Source organism: Homo sapiens, chromosome 16 (genome assembly GCF_000001405.40).
Source record: "Homo sapiens chromosome 16, GRCh38.p14 Primary Assembly".
Taxonomy (NCBI): Eukaryota; Metazoa; Chordata; class Mammalia; order Primates; family Hominidae; genus Homo; species Homo sapiens.
Genome location: NC_000016.10, coordinates 14,212,946 through 14,234,713, shown reverse-complemented (window position 1 = coordinate 14,234,713; position 21,768 = coordinate 14,212,946). Strand labels below are relative to the sequence as shown.

Here is a 21,768-nt window from a genome sequence, read left to right as displayed (position 1 = left end):
AAGTGATCCTCTTGCCTCAGCCTCCTGAGTAGCTGAGACTATAGGCATGCACCACCACCTCTGGCTAACTTTTTGAATTTTTTGTAGAGACAGTGTCTTGCTATGTTGCCCAGGCTGTTCTTAAACTCCTGGCCTCAAGTCGTCCTCCTGCCTCAGCCTTCCAAAGCACTGGGATTACAGAGGTAAGCCACTGCATCCAGCCCCTAGTGTTTTAAGTAGACCAAAATTTGTGCCATTTTTCTATGACTATAGCACAATTTCAAACATGAAGACCCCAGTCTAGCAAGTCTTTGCATGGCTTAGTTTTTAAGACTTTGGGCTAAAAGGCAGGCTGAGCAAGTTGGATAAATGCCTTTGTCTTCCATTCACAGGGTTATAGACAGAGTCACAAATAAAGCCACCAAACCCAGGGTGTATCCAAAGTACCCACCTTCACCAGTGCTGGGCCAGGCTTTGCTGAGGACACAGTGTTTGTGGGGAGGACAGGAGCTGCAGGCCGTGGGGGAGGCTGATCTGCAGTTGGAGGAGTTTTCAAGAATTCAGGAACTGTTGGGGACACTGAAGCAAACTGGTGGAAAAGGCAAAAAGGAACAAGTCTGTGAAATTAATGATCATAAAAACAGAAAAATTAGAATTACAAGGGAATGACCTGGTTTTTAAGCCCACTAGAAAAGAAGCAAAGGAAAAATATATGATTATGTCTGAGGCCAGATGGTGGAATAACATGCTTTACGCCTCAGTGGAGCCAATCATTTAGTCTTTAAGAGCAGTGAATAACTAAAGCCAAGTAAGGTAGACTGACGATACTGGAGTATTTTCTCAAAAAGACAGTCAGAACCCACTCTTTATTGGCAGGGAAAGAAAAGTCCAAGACACTTGTATATATGATCAAAACAATACATGGCATTCTTTTTTTTTTTTTTTTTTTTTTTGAGAGGGAGTCTCACTCAGGCTGGAATGCAGTGGGGTGATCTTGGCTCACTGCAACCTCTGCCTCCTGGGTTCAAGCAATTCTCCAGCTTTGGCCTCCCAAGTATCTGGAACTACAGGCATGTACCACCACACTCCGCTAGTTTTTGTATTTTAAGTAGAGATGCGGGTTTCACCACGTTGGCCAGGCTGGGTCTTGAACTCCTGACCTCAAGTGATCCACCTGCCCCGGCCTCCCAAAGTGCTGAGATTACACCCATGAGCCACTGTGCCTGGTCAATACATGGTATTCATAAAGTCCCTTTGCTATACAGGTCATGCTGACCCTGGCTGATCCAAACACGACCTTCAGGCTTCCCTGCATCACACTCGACCTACCCTCCGGCAGCATCCTTCCCGAATGCCCATGCCACCCATGTGTCCATAAATGTGCTTTACACCCTCTGTTCCTCTCTCCAAATCTGACTAGAACTCTCATTAACCATATTCCCCCATTTCTTGCAACAGAAGATTTGAAGAATATATTTTGGTAAGACTGATCTGTTTTACCGACAACATTATCTCTCCATAGTTAAAACAAGAAGCTACTTTGTTACCCAGGCCAAAATTAACAATTGCTGAATCTCAGTTTGGAGTCACATATTATTAACAAAGGAAGCTACAGAAGGCGTTACTAGGTTTTATCAATTCTCACTAGCAATCTACTTTACATAGATTTTAAGTATTTTATTGTAAAGAACAATTACTATTGTAATAAACTAGTCAAAATTTGCATATTGATTACTACTTGGACTTACTTACACCACCCTTATCTTAAGGAAAAATGTCCTCCTTTAACACTTCCACTTCCCTGAACAACTCTTAAATTCACTACACCAACAATCAAAATCTTGTTAAAGTATTTGCATTTTAAAATAGCAAACTGTATTTTTCCTCCTTAAAATAAATGACCTGAAAACTTGGAGGGCTATTAGCAGCATGAAATATGAAGCTTGGCACATACTAGTTAACTCAAACAAATATTTGTTTAATTGATGAATGGGCATTTCTTCTGGCTTTACTCACACTGGGTCACGTTCTCAAGCCCCGCTGAGACCGTGGGTGTGCGAGTGTGCAATTAATCGTGCATGCCCTTGTCAGCTCTCTCGCTCCCTGAGGTTTCAGCTGCTGATTTCAGCTTTTCAGTTATTAGTAACTGTGAGTGTTGACAATATGAAGGACCTTACTTTGAAAGATGGCTGCATTCAATTTCATTTTTAAACAGACATGAAGGGAAAGGGCTCATCTAAGAGAATGGACACCTGTGTTCCAGCAGACTTCTGCCCGCAAAGAGCCCTGAGACATCTGGCTCCTCAGTGAATCTCCGACCAACCAAGCCTCATACATAAAGTGGAAGATGTTAGCTGATCACTTCTTTACTGAATATGACTTTACGTGGTTGGTTTTCCTTTCATCTTGCATATTTTTTTGAAATGGGGATACTTATCTCTGGGTCAGTGTTCACAGAGGGGAAAACATTCCTTGGCTATTATGTAACTGGTATGTGAAAGAGACTAAAATGTTTGAATTCTGATCTCTATATAGATTTCTTTGCATATAAATCCTTACCTGGCAAGCTATTTTACCAGTCCAGCCCCCAGTGACTGAAGATAGTGTGATGAATCTGAGAGCAGTAAGTGTTAATCACATGAAAAATAACCCAGGAGCATGGATGTAGTATCAAATGTAATATTTATGATGTCTTGCCTAAATTTCTAGACTGTGCCTATCTTATTAGCTCTTTTGGTATTTCAGTGTGACTTTGCTACTCAGAAAACCAGACTCCAGCATAACACAAGAATAACCCAACTGAAATACAGTGATTGTTGACTCTACCTAATCTGAAGATAAATATATCAAAACTTCTAATTTTGCCAGCCATTTTAATGTGCTTTAGAAAGGACCAAAACACAACAAAAGCCCCTCCGTTCCCGTACCAAACCCCACTTAGACCGTATCAAGGGGTCAGGCTCCTAGTGGCTAAAGTTAGCAGAAGAATCTAAGTGTGAGTAATTTTGAAGTGATGTATTCCAAAAAGGATTAAAAGAGTATCCAGGCCTGGAGCTGGGGGCCATTACAGTAGTGAACGAATGCAGGAACAGAAAACCAAATACTGCATGTTCTCACAAGCGGGAGCTAAATGATGAGAACACATGGACACATAGAGGGGAACAACACACACTGGGGCCTACTTGAGGGTAGAGGATGGAAAGAGGGAGAGGAGCAGAAAAAATAACTATTGAGTATTGGGCTTAGTACCTGGGTGACAAAAGAATCTACATCAAATCCCTGTGACACACAATTTACGAATATAACACACCTGCACAAGTACCTGTGAACCTAAAATAAAAGTTAAAGTATTCAGGCCATAAGAGATACTTAAACTTATTTTGTTCCACAGTAAATTCAGCAATATGTCAGAATCTTTTTTTAATTTATTTTTATTTTTTATTTTATTATTATTATACTTTAAGTTTTAGGGTACATGTGCACAATGTGCAGGTTAGTTACATATGTATACATGTGCCATGTTGGTGTGCTGCACCCATTAACTCGTCATTTAGCATTAGGTGTATCTCCTAATGCTATCCCTCCCCCCTCCCCTTACCCCACAACAGTCCCCAGAGTGTGATGTTCCCCTTCCTGTGTCCATGTGTTCTCATTGTTCAATTCCCACCTATGAGTGAGAATACGTGGTGTTTGGTTTTTTGTTCTTGTGATAGTTTACTGAGAATGATGATTTCCAATTTCATCCATGTCCCTACAAAGGACATGAACTCATCATTTTTTATGGCTGCATAGTATTCCATGGTGTATATGTGCCACATTTTCTTAATCCAGTCTATCATTGTTGGACATTTGGGTTGGTTCCAAGTCTTTGCTATTGTGAATAGTGCCTCAATAAACATACGTGTGCATGTGTCTTTATAGCAGCATGATTTATAGTCCTTTGGGTATATACCCGGTAATGGGATGGCCGGGTCAAATGGTATTTCTAGTTCTAGATCCCTGAGGAATCACCACACTGACTTCCACAAGGGTTGAACTAGTTTACAGTCCCACCAACAGTGTAAAAGTGTTCCTATTTCTCCACATCCTCTCCAGTACCTGTTGTTTCCTGACTTTTTAATAATTGCCATTCTAACTGGTGTGAGATGGTATCTCATTGTGGTTTTGATTTGCATTTCTCTGATGGCCAGTGATGGTGAGCATTTTTTCATGTGTTTTTTGGCTGCATAAATGTCTTCTTTTGAGAAGTGTCTGTTCATGTCCTTTGCCCACTTTTTGATGGGGTTGTTTGTTTTTTTCTTGTAAATTTGTTTGAGTTCATTGCAGATTCTGGGTATTAGCCCTTTGTCAGATGAGTAGGTTGCGAAAATTTTCTCCCATTTTGTAGGTTGCCTGTTCACTCTGATGGTAGTTTCTTTTGCTGTGCAGAAGCTCTTTAGTTTAAGTAGATCCCATTTCTCAATTTTGGCTTTTGTTGCCATTGCTTTTGGTGTTTTAGACATGAAGTCCTCGCCCATGCCTATGTTCTGAATGGTAATGCCTAGGTTTTCTTCTAGGGTTTTTATGGTTTTAGGTCTAACATGTAAGTCTTTAATCCATCTTGAATTAATTTTTGTATAAGGTGTAAGGAAGGGATCCAGTTTCAGCTTTCTACATATGGCTAGCCAGTTTTCCCAGCACCATTTATTAAATAGGGAATCCAAAAGAATACTTTTATTATTTAAAATATAAATAGGTTTAAATTGCTGCCGAGACCTAAGTTCAACCTATGTTCTACAAAAATTTAATTTCAAAATGATTGAATTGTTTCCCCAAAGAAACAAAAAAAGCTGCAAACTTTGCTTTGTCTTATTGGATCTGACCACTGTTTCCATTACAGGTTACAGGTCTCACGAGGGCCAGATCTTTAATTTTCATCAGAAACCCATACAAGAAAATGTCAGAAAGATGGTTTTTAATGGATATTTATGCATTCAAAAAAAAAACTAAAAAGGCACTGTTGATCATAAAGACTGACTTTTCTCCTACTAGAAATGGCTACAGGAAAGCTTTGCTACAATATAAAAAAAACAGAAGTCAGAGCAAACCTCTCAGCTGATTAAAGCTCTATCCTGTTTCAGATGTCTGCACTGTTCCTGCTGCAGAATATGGTACACAGGACAAGGGCCAGTCATTGCTTCCGGACTGTTCCTCTTTATTAGAATTTCTTTATGTGGTCTTGAGGGACAGAAACTAGGTATTTAAAAACAAAGCTTTTTTGTATTATAGATTTTAAGTCAATAATGTTTTTAATTTAGGATGCAGCAGAGTTCTTAACTAAGATGGCAAAATGCAATTACTCTTTAAATATTGTTTTCATATTCTAATCCCCAAATAAAATGAAAAATGAGTTGAATAAAACAAAAATCACGCATTGCATATTTAATAGATGAATATTTTACGTAAAACTCTAGCTTTGTTAAAATGTATCACCTAGCACTGACTATTTGTTCCTATAAGTTTAAGCATTTCACTTTTAGAATAAGTAAGTGAATATTAAAAGTGAATTTCCTTGCACAGAATCTAGTGGACGTTCAGTGGGTACTTGATGACCTGATTGGTAGTGAGGATCTGCACGTATCCCTGCTTTAAAAGTGCATTTAAAAAATTATACTAAAATGTATATAACACAAAATTTACTATTTAACCATTTTTAAGTATATGGCATTAATTACATTTATATTGTTCTGCAACCATCACTACCGGAACCTCCAGACTTGTTCATGTTCCCAAGCAATACACTATACCCATTAAACAATGTCCCCCTGGTTCCACATTCCCCTCACCCCCAGGCAATCATCATTTTCTTTTCTGCCTCTATGATTTTTACTACTCTAAGAATCTTATATAAGTGGAATCACACAGTATTTGTCTTTTTGTGACTGGCTGAATTTCATTGAACATGAGCTAGAGTTTCATCAATGACGGAATGCAGAATTTGCTTCCTTTTTAAAGGCTGAATACTATTCCAACGTATAAATATAGCACATTTTGTTTATCCATTCATCTGGCAGTGGACGTTTGGGTTGCTTTCACATTTTGGCTATTGTGAATAATGCTGCTATGAACAGGGATATACAAATATCTGATCTAACTTCTGTTTTCTATTTTTTTTTTTTTGGGACGGAGTCTAGCTCTGTTGCCCAGGCTGGAGTGCAGTGGCGCAATCTTGGCTCACTGCAACCTCCACCTCCTGGGTTCTAAGCAATTCTCCTGCCTCAGCCTCCTGAGTAGCTGGGATTACAGGCACGTACCACCACGCCCAGCTAATTTTTCTATTTTTAGTAGAGACAGGGTTTCACCATGTTGGCCAGGATGGTCTCGATCTCCTAACCTTGTGATCCGCCCAACTTGGCCTCCCAAAGTGCTGGGATCACAAGTGTAAGCCACTGCGCCCAGCCCTGTTTTCTTTTGGGCATATACCCAGAAGTGGAATTGCTGGTTCATTTGGCAATTCTAGTTTAATTTTTTGAGGACTGAACATTGTCCACAGTGGCTATACCATTTCACTTTCCCACCAACAGTATACAAGAGTTCCAATTTATCCACATTCTTCCAAACTTATTTTTTGTTCTTTTGATAGTAGCCATTGTAATGGGCATGAGGTGGTATCTTGTGGTTTTGATTAGCATTTCCTTAATGATTAGTGATATCCAGTATCTTGTTAGATGCTTATTGGCCAATTGCATATCCTCTTAAGAAGGATGTCTATTCAAGTCCTTTGCCTGTTTTTTTTTTTTTTTTAAGATAGACTGCAACAAAAACCACATTCAAACCTTTGCCCATTTTTGAACAGTTTTTTTGTTGTTGAGTTGTGGGAGTTCTTTTTGTACATTAGATATTAGTCCTGTCTTAGTCTGTTTTGGACTGCTTTTAAAAAATATTTGGCAGGGCGTGGTGGCTCCCTCCTGTAATCCCAGCACTTTGGGAGGCCAAGGCAGTTGGATCATGAGGTCAGGAGTTTGAGACCAACCTGACCAACATGGTGAAACCCTGTCTCTACTAAAAATACAAAAATTAGCTGGGCGTGGTGTTGCATGCCTGTAATCCCAGCTACTCAGGAAGCTGAGGCAGGAGAATCCCTTGAACCTGGGAGGTGGAGGTTGTAGTGAGCCGTGATTGTGCCACTGCACTCCAGCCTGGGCAACAGAGCAAGACTCCATCTCAAAAAAACAAAACAAAAAAAAATTGAGGCTGGATAATTTATAAAAGAGGTTTATTTGGCTCACGATTCTGCAGATTGTACAGGATGCGTGGCACCAGCATGTGCATCTGGCAAGGCCTCAGGCTGCTTCCACTCATGGTGGGAGGGGAAATGGAGCCAGTGTACAGACATTACAGGGGAAAAGAGGAAGCAAGAGAGAGCGGGGAGGGGCTGGGCTTTTCTTTCTTTCTTTTTGTTTTGTTTTTGTTTTTTTAACAACAAGCTCTCACGGGAACTAATGCAGTGAGAATTCACTTATCTCTAAGGGAGGCTGTTAATCTATTCATGAGGGATCTGCCCCCATGACCCGAATGCATCCCATTAGGCCCTACCTCTAACAATGGGGATCAAATTTTGACATGAGGTTTGAAGGAGACAAACATCCAAACCATAGCAAATCCTTATAAGATATATGATTTGCAAATATTTTCTTCCATTTTTTGGATTGCTTTTTTACTCTGTTGATGTCCTTTGATGCACTGAAGTTTTTTTCTTGTTTCTTTTTTTTTTAAGAGACAGGTTCTCGCTCTGTCCCCCAGGCTGGAGTGCAGTGGTGCTTTCATAGCTCAATGTAACCTCAAACCTGGGCTCCAGTCATCCTCTCATCTCAGCTTCTGGAGTAGCTAGGACTATAGGTGCACGCCACCATGCCCAGCTAATTTTTTTAATTTTTATTTTTTGTAGAGATGAGGTCTCACTATGTTGTCCAGGTTGGTCTTCAACTCCTGGCCTCAAGGGATCCTCCTGCTGTGACCTTCCAAACAGCTGGGATTACAGGCGTGAGTCACCATGTCTGGCCAAAACGTTTTGAGGAAAGATTTCTTTCCTCAAATTATTTTTTCTTTTGCTGCCTTGGTGTCATATCCAAGAAACCAATCCAGTGTAATGAAGCTTTCCCCTACATTTTCTTCTAAGAGTTTTATAGTTTTAGTTATTATATTTAGATCTTTGTCTATGGAGTCAATTTTTGCCTACGATGTTAGGTAAAGGTCCAACTTCATTCTTTTTTGCATGTGGATATCCAGTTTTCCCAGTACCATTTGTTGACGAGACTATCCTTTCCCCACTGGATGGTCTTGGCACCTTTGTTGAAGATCATTTGATCCCATATCTAAGGGCTTATTTCTGGGCTCACTGTTCTATTTATCTTATGCCAATACCACTGTTTTAATTACTGTGTCTTTGTAGTAAGTTTCGAAATTAGGAAGCATGAGACCTCTAACTTTTTTAAAATTCAAGACTGTTTTGGTTTTTCAGGATTCCATAAGATTTTTCTATTTCTGCAAAAATCAACATTAGGATTTTGATATGAACTGTACTGAATCTGTAGATTGTTTGGGGTAGCACTGACATATTAACAATATTAAGTCTTCCATGAACACAGGATGTCTGTGTTTGATGCTTTGTAGTGCCTTGTTTTGATTCCATTCTCCTCTCCTTTTGCATTGTTGAAAAATAGCCTGTCGCATGGCCAAGAGTGTCTGATGCCATCTTGAAACAAAACTACCATGATGACTGGTGGTTGGCCCCTCCACAGCAAGGTGTTCTGCAGTAAGGTCTTTACACAATGCCTATGGCATAGATAACCCCTCATAAAGATGCTATCAAACTTCCCCAGTGGTCACGTCCTGACAAGAAAGTCTGAAGATGTGACCAGCTGCACATGTTTTATCCTAAAAGCTTGCTATATAAAGAATATCTCTGGGAGGCTGAGGTGGGCAGACTCTCTAAGCTCAGGAGTTCGAGACCAGCTTGGTCAATATGGCGAAACCCTGTCTCTACAAAATTAGCCAGGCATGAATGAATGAATGAATGAATGAATGAATGAATGAATGCTTTCTGGATGGCAGGTGTGGACAGCCACCCAAGACATTGCTTCTGTTTTTAAGTTCCTATAAAATATTTCTCTCTGAGAAACTGGGTTTGTCAGCCTCTTTCTTTGGCCTCTGAGCTTCCTCAGCTTTTGGGGGTAGGTTTGCATATGCCTGTTCACAGATTCTACGGATTTTTTGTTTGTTTCCATAGGAATTACAAATAACATCTTAGAATTACGACATTCTATCTTACATTGATAACAACTTCAGTCACATAAAAAAATGCTACTTCTTTACAGCTTCACCCCCTCTATGTTACTGACATCATTCACAAACTACGTTGTTATATACTGTGTGGCCATTAACATAGATTTGTAATTTTTAATGAATGTGTATTTTAAATCCTGTAGGAAAAAAAGTAGAGTTACAGACCAAAATTATAATACTGTTTTAATATTTGTCCATGTATTATCTTTTTCTTTTTTCTTTTTAGATGAGAATTCTGCTCTTGTTGCCCAGGCTGGAGTGCAATGGCGCGATCATGGCTCACCACAACCTCCACCTCCTGGATTCAAGCGATGCTCCTACCTCAGCCTCCCGAGTAGCTGGGATTACAGGCACGCGCCACCACATCTGGCTAATTTTGTATTTTTAGTAGAGACAGGGTTTCTCCATGTTGGTCAGGCTGGTCTTGAACTCCCGACCTCAGGTGATCCGCTCGCTTTGGCCTCCCAAAGTGTGCTGGGATTACAGGTGTAAGCCACCGTGCCCAGCCAATTTTATATTTTCATATGGCTTTGAGTTACTATCTGGCATCCTTTCACTTCAGATTGAAGGATTCTTTTTAGCATTTCTTGTAGAGCAATTCTAGTGGTAATAAACTACCTCTGCTTTTGTTTGTCTGGGAATGTTTTAATTTCTCCTTTATTTTTGAAAACAATTTTGCTGGATATACAATTTTCAGGTGACTGTTTTCTTCTTTCACCATTTTAAATATATCATCCCACTGCCTTCTGGTCTTCAAGGCTTCTACTGAGAAATCCACTGATAGTCTTATTGAGGATTCCTTGTAGGTGACCAGTCACTTTTCTCTTGCTGCTTTTAAGATTCTGTCTTATTTGACTCTAGACAGTTGATTATAATGTGCGTTCCTGCGGGTGTCTTTGGAGTTTATTGAATTTCTTGTACAGGCATTGTGGTCAACAATGGGCTGCACATAAGAAGATTATAATGGAGCTGCTCTATACAGGTGTAGTATTTTAAAAAACCATTTACACTGTAAATGTAGTAAAAAAACCATTTACACTGTAAAGGCACACTGTAGTAGGTGTAGTAGGCCATACCATCTAGGTTTGTGTAAGTATACTCTATGATGTTTCACAACAACAAAACTGTCAAACAATGCTGATATAATTTGAATCATGACCAAATCTCATGTCAAATTGTAATCCCCAAGTGTTGGAAGAGGGGCCTGGTGGGAATCATGGGGGCAGACTTCCCCCTTTCTGTTCTCATGATAGTGAATGAGTTCTCATGGGATCTGGTTGTTTGAAAGTGTGTAGCATTTCTCCCTGTGCTCGCTCGCTCTCTCCTGCTGTCATGTGAAGACATGCTTGCTTTGCCTTCACCCTTCTACTGTGACTGTAAGTTTCATGAGGCCTCCCCAGCCATGCCTCCTGTACAGCCCGTGGAACTGTTAGTCAATTAAACCTCTTTTCATAAATTGCCTAGTCTCAGGTAGTTCTTTATAGTGGTGTGAGAACTGACTACTACAAATGCTTTGCTCAGAATGTATCCTTGTTGTTAAGCAAAGCATGACTGTATTTGTATATCCATGTCTTTCCTCCTATTTGTGAAGTTTTGGGCCATTATTTCTTTAATTACTGTATTTGCCCCTTTCTCTCTTTCCTTTTGGAACTCTCATAGTGAATACATTGATCGCTTGATGGTGTCCTATAAGTCTCTTAAGTCTCTGTTCACTTTTCTTCATTCTTTTTTCCTTTTGTCTTCAGACTCAATTTCAAATCATCTGCCTTCCCATTTGCAGATTCTTTCTTCTGCTTGTTTGAGTCTGCTGTTCAAGCCTCTAGTGAATTTTTCAATTCCATTATATCTTCAATTACATAATTTGTTTGGGTTTAAAAAATAATTTCTACCACATTCTCAGTTTGTTCATATATAGTTTTCCTAATTTCCTTTAGTTTGTTGTCCATGTTTTCTTTCTTTTAGTTTTTGAGTATATTTAAGATAATTACTTTAAAGTCTTTGTCCAGTAGGGCAGATATGTGTGTTTCTTCTAAGATAGTTTCTGGAGATTTATTTTGTTCCCTGAATGGTCATATTTTTCTTTTTCTTTTTTGTGGGGGTGTGTGTAGGGTCTCGCTCTGTTATCCAGGCTAGAGTATAGTGGTATGATCTTGGGTCACTGCAACCTCTGCTCCCTTGTCTCAGGTGATCCTCCCACCTCAGCCTCCTGAGCAGCTGGGACCACAGGTATGCACTACCACGCCCAGCTATTTCTTTTTGTATTTTTAGTAGAGATGGGGTCTCACTATGATGCCCAGGCTGGTCTTGAACTTCTGAGCTCAAGCAATCCACCTGCCTTGGCCTCCCAAACTGCTGGGATTACAGGTCTGAGACACTGCACCCTGCCTTGTTTTTTTTAAATGGGATTTTGCTATGTTGCCCAGACTGGACTTGAACTGTTGGATTTAAGTAATCCTCCTGCCTCAGCTTCCCAAGTAAGCTGGGATTATAGGTGTGTGCTATCATGCCTGCCTTCTTTGTATCTTTTGTTGAAAATTTGGCATGTGAAAAAACAGCCACCTCTCCCTATTTCTAGTGTTCTTATTTCTCCGCAGCCTCACCAGCATCTGTTGTTTCTTGACTTTTATTCTGACTGGCATGAGATGGTATCTCATTGTGGTTTTGATTTGCATTTCTTTAATGATCACTGATGTTCAAGGTGTCGCTATGTTGCTCAGGCTGGTCTTGAACTCCTGGGGTCAAGTGATCCTCTCACTTTGGCATCTCAAAGTGCTGGAATTATAGGCCTGAGCCACTGCCCCCTGCCTCAGTCAGGAATAATAATAATAAAAAAAAAAACCTAAACAGGGAAATTAGAAAAATGTGTTTAAGCCAGGGGTGTCCAATCTTTTGCCTTCCCTGGGCCACACTGGAAGAAGAATTGTTTTGGGCCAAATATAAAATACATTAACATTAACGATAGCTGGTGAGCTAAAAGAAAAAAAAAATCACACAAAAAAACTCATAATGTTTTAAGAAAGTTTATGAATTTGTGTTGGGCTGCGTTCAAAGCTGTCCTGGGCCGCATGCAGCCTGTGGGCTGTAGGTTGGATAGCTTATTTTAAGCCATAGGATTAAACATGCAGCACAAAATGAGTAATAAATACATGACAAAATTTGGCTCAGGCAAACAAGAAGGAAAGTGAAATCTAAGGCAGAGATTTCACTCAAAGTATGGTCTGTGGACCTCTGTTACCTGCCTGTGACCAGTTAGAAAGTCATATAGAAATTTGATGTTACCCCACCACTTGTACTTTACAAGGATTAGTCCACATGCATCGAAAATTAAATGGGCCAGGTGCGGCGGCTCATTCCTGTAATCCCAGCACTTTGGGAGGGCGAGGTGGGCAGATCACCTGAGGTCAGAAGTTCAAGACAGCATGGCCAACATGGTGAAGCCCTGTCTCTACAAAAATACAAAAATTAGCTGGGCATGATGGCGGGTGCCTGTAATTCCAGCTACTTGGGAGGCTGAAGCGGGAGAATCGCTTGAACCCGGGAGGCAGAGGTTGTAGTAAGCTGAGATCACACCATTGCACTCCAGCCTGGGTGACAGAGTGAGACTCCCTCTCAAAAAAAAAAAAAAAAAAAAAGGAAAGAAATATCTAAAAAAATCAAGCTAGTCCTCCACTACAGCCAATTCGAGGACTGGTCAACAGCAATGAAATTTACCATCAAACTCTTACAATGAGTTATTTTCAAGATTAAAAATTAAGAATCTCAAAGAACCCCTGAAAGACAAGACGTGTATGTTGCTCTTTTATTATCTTGCTTTACAAGCACATTTTAGTAAATTGTGTCATAGCTCGTCTTTGTGGCAGTGGTATGATGGTAATTCTAAAGCAGGAAAAAACAGACTGCAGAGAGAGTCTCCAAGGATCTGTCATGCATTAAATCAGTTAAGTAAAGTAAGTACTTGCTGTGTGCTGGACCCCTGTGCTGAGTATGAGGTTACTAAGATAAATCCCTGTCCTCTAGGAACTTTGTGTCTAAGGAGAAGCAATGTGTCAAGGTCCTTTCCCCTTGGGCTACGAATATGAAAGTAAGTATATTTAGGTAGATAAATATATTTTATATACATCAAGTGAGATGCCTGGGCAAATTCTATAACCAAACACTGGATAACAGTGAAAATAAAGTATAAAATTTGCCAAAACAAAACTTATCACCTCTAGATGACATAAAAATCCCCAAGACTTTACCAGCATCATAAAGTTCGCCTCTGTAGTTAATTAAAAAAAGAAACCAAAACGAAGCACCTACAACGTATTAATAATCCTACTTAAGAATTATCTTTCTTTGACATCTGTATGGCATAGTTACCATGGACATGCTTCTTTAATTACATGAATAAAAGTATAATAAGAATCTTTGTCAGATTCCTTACTTATAAATACTAGAACACTTAATACAAGGGGGTTTCATGAAGGCCACAATTTTAAGAGGTCTCAAGGCACATAGGACAGAAATGATTTAACAGGCAAAGCTACAGTGGAGCCAACCCTGACTCCAGGTTTTTTTTCTTGAATGTATACATAGGAACTGTTAACATCCTGTAAAGTGGGTCTTCTCCCATCGCCCTAGTTGACAGATAAAAAGCTGACTGTTAATGTGGTCTGCATGTAACAGGCAGAACTGTACTGCAGCAGCACTGAAGGTACTACGAAAACTAATGCTTAAATTCAGGAATGACCCAAGGCTTAATGTGTGTTGCACTGGGAATAAACAGACCATATTTATTCTTCAAGAAACACTGTTATTACTATTTTCCTTCAAGGAATTCTGGAATGTCAGCTCACTGTGTGGGAATGCCTCTTGTTAAAGCGTCTCAATTAAAAACTTAGCTGGAGACCACGTTTTAAGAGTATGGAAATAAAACACAGTAGTACCAGCAATACAAGGAAGAGAATTATAATCTTTCATGCAGGTGAAATGATCATGGAATTTAAACAACTGATGGCTGTTGTGACACATTCTGTATTACTAAAAGTTAAGGCCATGCTAATTGCTGTCTGACATCCTAACCTACTCAAAACAGTAGCAGAGAACAAACAACCCAAATGGATAAGTGTAACTGTTTGTTAATGGTATCTACTTGCATACTTGACATTCTTTTTACTGAATTTTTAAAGCTCAAAACCAGGGTGCAGCAAATATGTGAGAACACAGTAGGGTTTAGTCTCCCTTGCTCTCGCTTTCTGCCTGCTCAAACCTCAGACTGTGGGTTGGTCACTGACCCTCATACTACTTCTAGGCCAGGATCACCCCTGCCCTGTGAACTTGGAGAGGACAATCGGAACTGTAGCCATCCACACTACCACTGATGAGTCCAAGCTGTAGCGGCTCTACATTCACATGGAAGGAGAAGAGAAACAAGCTTCCACAACCATTGTGTCAGTCTGCATTCAAGGTGCTGAATTCAAGTCAGCATTTACTAAGCACCTTTTCTGTTCCAAGCCCTGTACTAGATGCTCAAAATATACTTGCTCTCTCTCCCCTTCCCTCCCTCTCCAAAGTAGCTCTTATCTGCTAACAGTCAAAGTCCCTCTCATAGGCTCACATTTTAGCTGCAGGCATACAGACAACAAACAAATAAACATATTTCAGATCATGGTGATAAATGCAATGAAGAAAATAATGCTGAAAGACATAGCTCCTAACAAATCAATGGTCATGAATGAGAAGAAATGCTGTAAGAAAATGGGCATTTTTAATCCCCAAACTTCCATACTTCTGTGAACCCAGACTGCCTCTTGTATAAGGGTTAAAGCAGATAATTGCTAAATTCCTTTCTAACTCAAAAATTCTATGATGCCAGGCTTATCAAGAACATTTTCTGCTGACTTGATCACTCCCATTAAGTAGTTCAATAGTTTTGACTTTAAAATAACACTATTAAAATTTCAGTAAGGCAAAAGCACTATAAGGAGAGAAAAATTATGTACAGCACAAGAATTATTATAAAGCCAAAGGAAACATGGACACCCATTAAAAGACATGTAAATTTCCAATGCAATTACCAAAATATTTCTTACATTCCTTTGTATGCACTAGATTCTCAGTTCCCAATAAATTTGAAACATAATAGGTGCTCAATGTGTATTTGTTGAACAAACAAATTCAGTTCCATCAATGATCAAAACATTCAACTCTCCAAGATTTCAGGAAATGGTATTACCTACTTGTGATGAAGACATAGTGGCTGGAAATCTTTATTACCTTCCTGGAGGGCAGTTAAGTGCCTGCTTTTTGCTTAATAAATCAATTTAAATTCAATTCAGAATTTTCTTCTGGTCAAAGTGTATTACCTTAATATATTAAAAAAAAACAAGGCATTTTCTTTCTTTAGGGGTCAAAACCAGAAAGATAATACCTGCGCTGGAGTGTTTGTAGTCACAGGAGATGGCGATTCACTAACTTTTGGCTCACTTGGGGACGCGGCTGACCCCTGTGACTCCTGACTCGCAGGCTGGTCCGGAGACAAAGCGTCACTGCTGTCTTCATCAAATGAGAAATCGCCCTGAGTGTGGGGATAGTCCTCCTTCCCAACGCCTAAAGAAAGAAATGATTTTTGACTTGACTTATGTTGGCTTTGGAATACCAAGCTTAATGTGAAGGAGGAAAACATTGTTTCCTATGAAAATTTATGAAGCTGCTTAAAAAAAAAATTGAACACAATGTACCTCCCAGTGCAAGAACACACCACTAACCATGATGTATTCTTGAGTGAAAAAGAAAAATCTAACCTGCATTAGATTAAGACTTTGGGTTCAACTACCAGTTACATGAAGTACAAGCGCCAGGAATCTTAACACCTGGGGATGCAAATGCAATCAGTAAAATCCAGAATGTGGGACATGCTAGAGAACAAAACAAGCCTTTTTCTCAACAAATAAGAAAAAAAAAAGATCCACCCAATAGATTAAGATTTAACAGAAATATCAGGCAGAGGCAACGTGTGGACCTTGTTTGGATCCTGACAGGAAATCCAACTGTTAAAAAAACACGTGACAGGCTGGGTGCGGTGGCTCACGCCTGTAATCGCAGCACTTTGGGAGGCTGAGGCGGGTGGATCATGAGGTCAGGAGATCGAGACCATCCTGGCTAGCGCGGTGAAACCCCGTCTCTGCTAAAAAATAGAAAAAATTAGCCGGGCATGTGGCGGGTGCCTGTAGTCCCAGCTACTTGGGAGGCTGAGGCAGGAGAATGGCATGAACCCGGGAGGCAGAGTTTACAGTGAGCCAAGACTGTGCCACTGCACTCCAGCCTGGGAGACAGAGCCAGACTCCGTCTCAAAAAAGAAAAACAAACAAACAAAAAAACGTGACAAGGAGGAAAATGGGGCCATGACTGGGTGTATGTTGATACGCTCCCACTTTAGGGAGCAACCCAGCTACACTGACATCTCACCTGATTTTTTCTGTTTTTCTGCTAAAGCTTACGCCAGAAACAAAAAGAGAAACATCAGTAACTAAGTGTGGTAAGACGAGGATAAAACAGAGAGATACTACCATTCTGTACTCATCTGCTCTTCACCTTCCTGAACTAACACTGAACATGCTATTTATATTTCCTAGAAGTAGACAGAAATAAAAAGTTAGTAAAAATATTAAACTAAATAAGTTTAACTTAGAAAATTATTTCAATAATAATGCTACTTAGCAAGCAATTTGGAAAAGTTAATATCCTATCTTAAAAACTATTGTAGTTTTCATCACCCCTGGGGACCTCCTATTTTGCACTGGTATGACTTTAAAGCTTAGGCAATTTGTAGTCAAGAACTGTAAGCAGTACAATCAACCATGATTCCATGCAGTCCTAAAGAGATGGACCCCAAAAGGTGAGATGAAATCAGAATGTTAAGAATTAAAACTCAGACCTAACAAGGGAATCTGTTAATCAGCGGCAGATACTAGACTTATAATACATAATGAAATGATAGTAACACAAATCACTGTGTTAATTTCTAATTAACCCAGAAAACAATACTCACGATCGGTGCTAGCCTTTAAATTATATTTGTTTTATCTAAAATTTCCAAGTTTCTCTTTCTCACCCCAAATAGTAAATTTTTAGAGTCTTGCCTATAATTGCTTCTTTAACACTGGAGTCCACAGGAAGGATGTTTTTCTCTACCAGCTCCATAGGACCAGGTCTTTGAGCAATCTTTTCATTCAGATCATCTGCTAGTCGAGCTCTTTTCAACTTCATCTGAGTAGCCTGCAGGGATGGCTCTGCAAATGTTTCTAAAAGAGGAAACACAGTTTTAACCATTACTCGAATTACTATTTCTATTCCATAATGTTATTTCAGGCCAACAAACTGAATTTAAACTGATTTAGACACATTTTTGTGTTCTCGACATATTTATGGAAAGAGAAAATGACTGTTTAAGAATTCTCCAGTATGCATTTTGTATTTTTTAGTTCTGGATAGCTTTACTTTGTCTATGTAATTTGGATGCCCACAGACTCAAATTAACAGGACCTTAAACCAAAAGTGGGGCACTGCTATTGTTTGTTTATGGCAGGAGGGTCAAATTCACATTTACTAGGTATTGGGGATACAGAGGATGGGCAAGACGGATGTGGCCCATGGTTCAAGAAGTTGACAGTTCTGGATTTGGCTTCATTGGAAAGTCAATTCTTAGAAGGGAGACACTGCCTCTTAGGGTTATAAGCTTCTCTGCAGAGGTCAATGGGAAGAGCTATCATTCATATTCTTGAATTGATCCCCTGTGTCTCGGTCGGTCATCATAATTAAGAATTTGGGTTTATTTCTGAATACATATCCTTGTGTCTGTTAGGAACATTCAACTATAATATACAGTAATTAATGGTTGTATACAGGCATCAACTCATCTACTTACAAATGCATAAAATTGGTACAACCAATGTAAAACTATAAATACCATAATTCATCCATCTGCTTTATTCTGTCATACTTGTGTTTCTGGTAACTCTTGTTAATGTTTTTTCCATTGTTCTAAAAAATGTTTAGAAATGATGAAAAATAATGATGTGGTGTCTACCCAAAATTCCAAGCTGAAAGTTGCTTGCCTCTTAAGCTATACAGTAGAAGGTCTTTCAATGAAACTCCCCATAAGTCGGCTTAGGATGAACTGATATTCTTTAGTCTGTAGGTATTAATAGACTATTCTTGTGAAGCCCAAGGCTCACTGAAAGCACATGGCTAGGAGGTTACCCTGCAGCACATCTGTGTAGCTTCTCTATCCACCAGCTGAGCTGTATGCTTGCCAAAAGTGAGCCTTGATTGTCCACAAAATGATTCATATCTGTTGTGACCGCTATTGCGAATACATAATTTAACTAAATGTTATGAGAAAATGATAAAACTTCAAAAATAAAATGTTTATTTCTTGGAAACTTAAATGCTTTGGAAAGATTTGATAAAGGTTGAGTCATTTAAAAAATCACTGTCAAATTCGTTTGGGCAATTAACAACTGTAAGAAATTTGAGAAAAAGATTGCAACATCTAGGATTTTAAAGCTCCGATTGATGTGAACTCCATTCATTAAAGTCTTACCCAAAGAGAAGGCCCTAGCACAAGGTTGGAATATTGGTAAATAAATGTAGACATCTACAAGTTAAAATGTGTGTTCATCTCATTTTTATCATTTTCCCATACAACCAACTGTGGCCCCAATCTTCTGAGATAACACTTCTAACCATACAAGATGATACTTGGGGAGAATCAGAACATAAGAATTACTCTCAGGTTGATATTTCAATGCCTCTGGTTAAGATCTAGGTAGGACAGACTTCTGTCTTTCTCCTCTCTTACATTACCATCACCGAAGTGATAGCAATATGTATGGAAAGAAAATATTCCCAAGTAAGTAAGTAAGTAGAGCCTGGAATTTTGTTATGTTTCTGTTCCTGGTCTTATTCCTCTATCTCCATGACTGAGGCTGAAGTTTAGCTGCTGAACTTCAGGAAGTAACTTAGACCCTTGCCTGCCAAATATCTAATCCAATCAAAATCGGGTTAATGTTAAAATACAGTTGGGAGTGGTGGTGGTTTTAAGATACTTCAAAAAATAAAATGACATTCTTTCTTATTTCAAAACTCCCAACTTGAGAACAGATGTCCTAAAAACATCACTTATGGTTAATTCATAAATACAGTTAAATTTTTAAATGGTGGGTAGTCTTAAAAAAAGATTTATTTTGAGAGTTAAATGTATTTTCCTTGATTTTAATTATATCAATAAAGCTTGTTACAGTTAGAAGGCAAATTGAAACAGATAGCATTGTTACTACAAAAATGTCCCTTATAGGTCAAGATGTTTTCAGGCAAAGAAGCAACCACTTACTTGGCTACTTACCAGTAAACTTGCTTCTTTGAAGATTCACTTATCCCTGACTGGTAGCTGCTCTACCCTACTACTGGAGTTCTGGAAAAGCCTTTTTAGTCCAGCGGACTTCTGAGAACACAACCCAAAGTAGAGAAAGGGACATACCTCTCACCTCCTGCCCCTGGAATGAGGAGGACAGCCATATAATCAAAGATTCTTTACAATAGAAGAGCCCCTACTTGGGGTCATAGAGACCACCTTGATGCTTCGAAGTTCTCTACCACATCCTTAATATTGAGAGTTTTTTCTCTATCATAGCAGTCGGTTTACTCCCCACAGAGCTCTTCTCACAATCTGTAATTCACTTGTTTTGCTTGTTTATTAGCAAAAATAGAACTGCCAGCTCCGTGAAGTCAGGCATCCATCTGTCTCGCTCACTTGTTGGGTCTCTGGAGTCTAGCACACTGGCCAATGAAGGAACACCTCTAACAATGGTAGCCATATCACCTCCTGAAGATTTCATTTCTGGACATGTCAGACCTTTAAGATATTACTTCTTATGTTGAGTTATAATCTAATACTTGGTAATATCAACCTAACTTAATACTAACTCTAATCCTATCATTAGGCCCAGAGAACAAACCTCCCTTCTACCTGACAATTGTCTCTCAATGTCTGAGAAGTTTTCAGATTGTTTCTGTATCTTCTCAATACTTAACACACCCAAGACTACCACAGAATCAAGCTCCTAGTCTTAATAAATTCGTTGGAGAAGCAAAACAATGAAAGAAAATGTAACTTGGGAGTTGATGGTGGAGGTATAAGCTTTCGAGAATGCTTTGCCTTTAGAGAGAAAAACATCCTGGCCTGACCCATGTGTTAACCAAAGATGGAATGGAACTGTCCTTACCAGCCTCGTAAGTGATGAGGTTAGATGACTGAGATCATTTGGCGGAGGTGGATGGGAGGTGCTAATGGTCAGCTCAAGGTGGCTTGTTGTGGGTAAGTGGCAATAAAGAGAAAATGTTGGGTGTGGGCACTGTACAGTTAGACACAGACAAGGTCCAAGTAGTTGAAAATCTAGGGTTAGACTTGTGCTATTGCATTCTTTATGACTTAATAAGTGGATACATGTCCCTCACTGATAAAGAAATCCTCTGGACCCCAATTTTTTTAGTGGAACAGTATGGTAGAGGCATCTGTGGTACCAGCTGGTGTGGAAGTGTTAGTCCATTAATTGGTTATGTGAAGAATCAAACCTTCCCTGTGTATCTAACATGTTTTAGTTTTGGGTCTTCATGTTGCTATCCAGTTTGGAGGAAGTAAGGCTGTGGGTTAAAAAGTTATTAAAATGGGAATAAACAGAAATGGTGGAAATTCTCACTTCTTTTCTTGAAAAAATACAGCAGATTAAGAAGAAATAAATCCTTTACCTTCTAAAATGTGCATCCTGACAAGTTCAGAACGATCTGGTCGACTCCGAATCTTGTGTTTCAAAAAGTTTTCAGTCTTTAAAAAGAAAAAAAGTCTTACCATAAATCATTTATTATTTATTGTGGTTTTAAATGTTCTTTAAGGTATTCCATTTAAATAAACGATACGCTTATGGTCATGTGTTTGAGACGAAGAGTAGAAATTAGCACTTAGAAAAACTAGTATCCAACACATGATTTAAACTGTAGCCTTCAAAATTGTACACAGACTTGAAGAGTATGTTGGTATAAACTAAGCATTTATAAACTTTTAAAACTTATGAACATCGAAAGGTCGTGTTTTGAAGATAGTTTTTTAATAAACATAGGATTTAAATCACTTAAATATCTAAACTCAATAAAATCTATACTTCAGGTCCAGTAAAAATCCACCTAGATAACAAATTTCCTAAAAATCTTAATGTGTTTTCTTTGGTAAGTTCATATCCTTGATCAGATTTTCTTAATTAGAAATGTATTCAACTCTTAAGGAAGAAAGCCTTCATACAGGTTTTATAAGACTGTAAGAAATCATTATTGCATTCTAGAAAAATTCTTAAGAAAATTTTGGAATATGTTTATTTTCATGTTGCATGATAGAAATTTTCCCCAAAACAAAATGAATGAATATTCATA

At 39.0% G+C, this 21,768-nt stretch overlaps 1 protein-coding gene across 33 annotated transcripts in view; it reads right to left on the bottom strand.

Moving 5' to 3' along the window:
- Positions 1 to 21,768, bottom strand: part of MRTFB (myocardin related transcription factor B) — a 272,006-nt gene that overhangs the window by 32,066 nt on the left and 218,172 nt on the right. For all 33 annotated transcript variants that reach the window (XM_047434393.1, XM_047434392.1, XM_017023501.3 and 30 more), the window contains 4 exons: positions 21,094 to 21,169; positions 17,427 to 17,588; positions 15,716 to 15,894; positions 431 to 568 (listed from right to left, as the gene is read on the bottom strand). In XM_047434393.1, the coding sequence (XP_047290349.1) occupies positions 431 to 568; positions 15,716 to 15,894; positions 17,427 to 17,588; positions 21,094 to 21,169 (555 nt within the window). The remainder of the gene's footprint in view (positions 1 to 430; positions 569 to 15,715; positions 15,895 to 17,426; positions 17,589 to 21,093; positions 21,170 to 21,768) is intronic.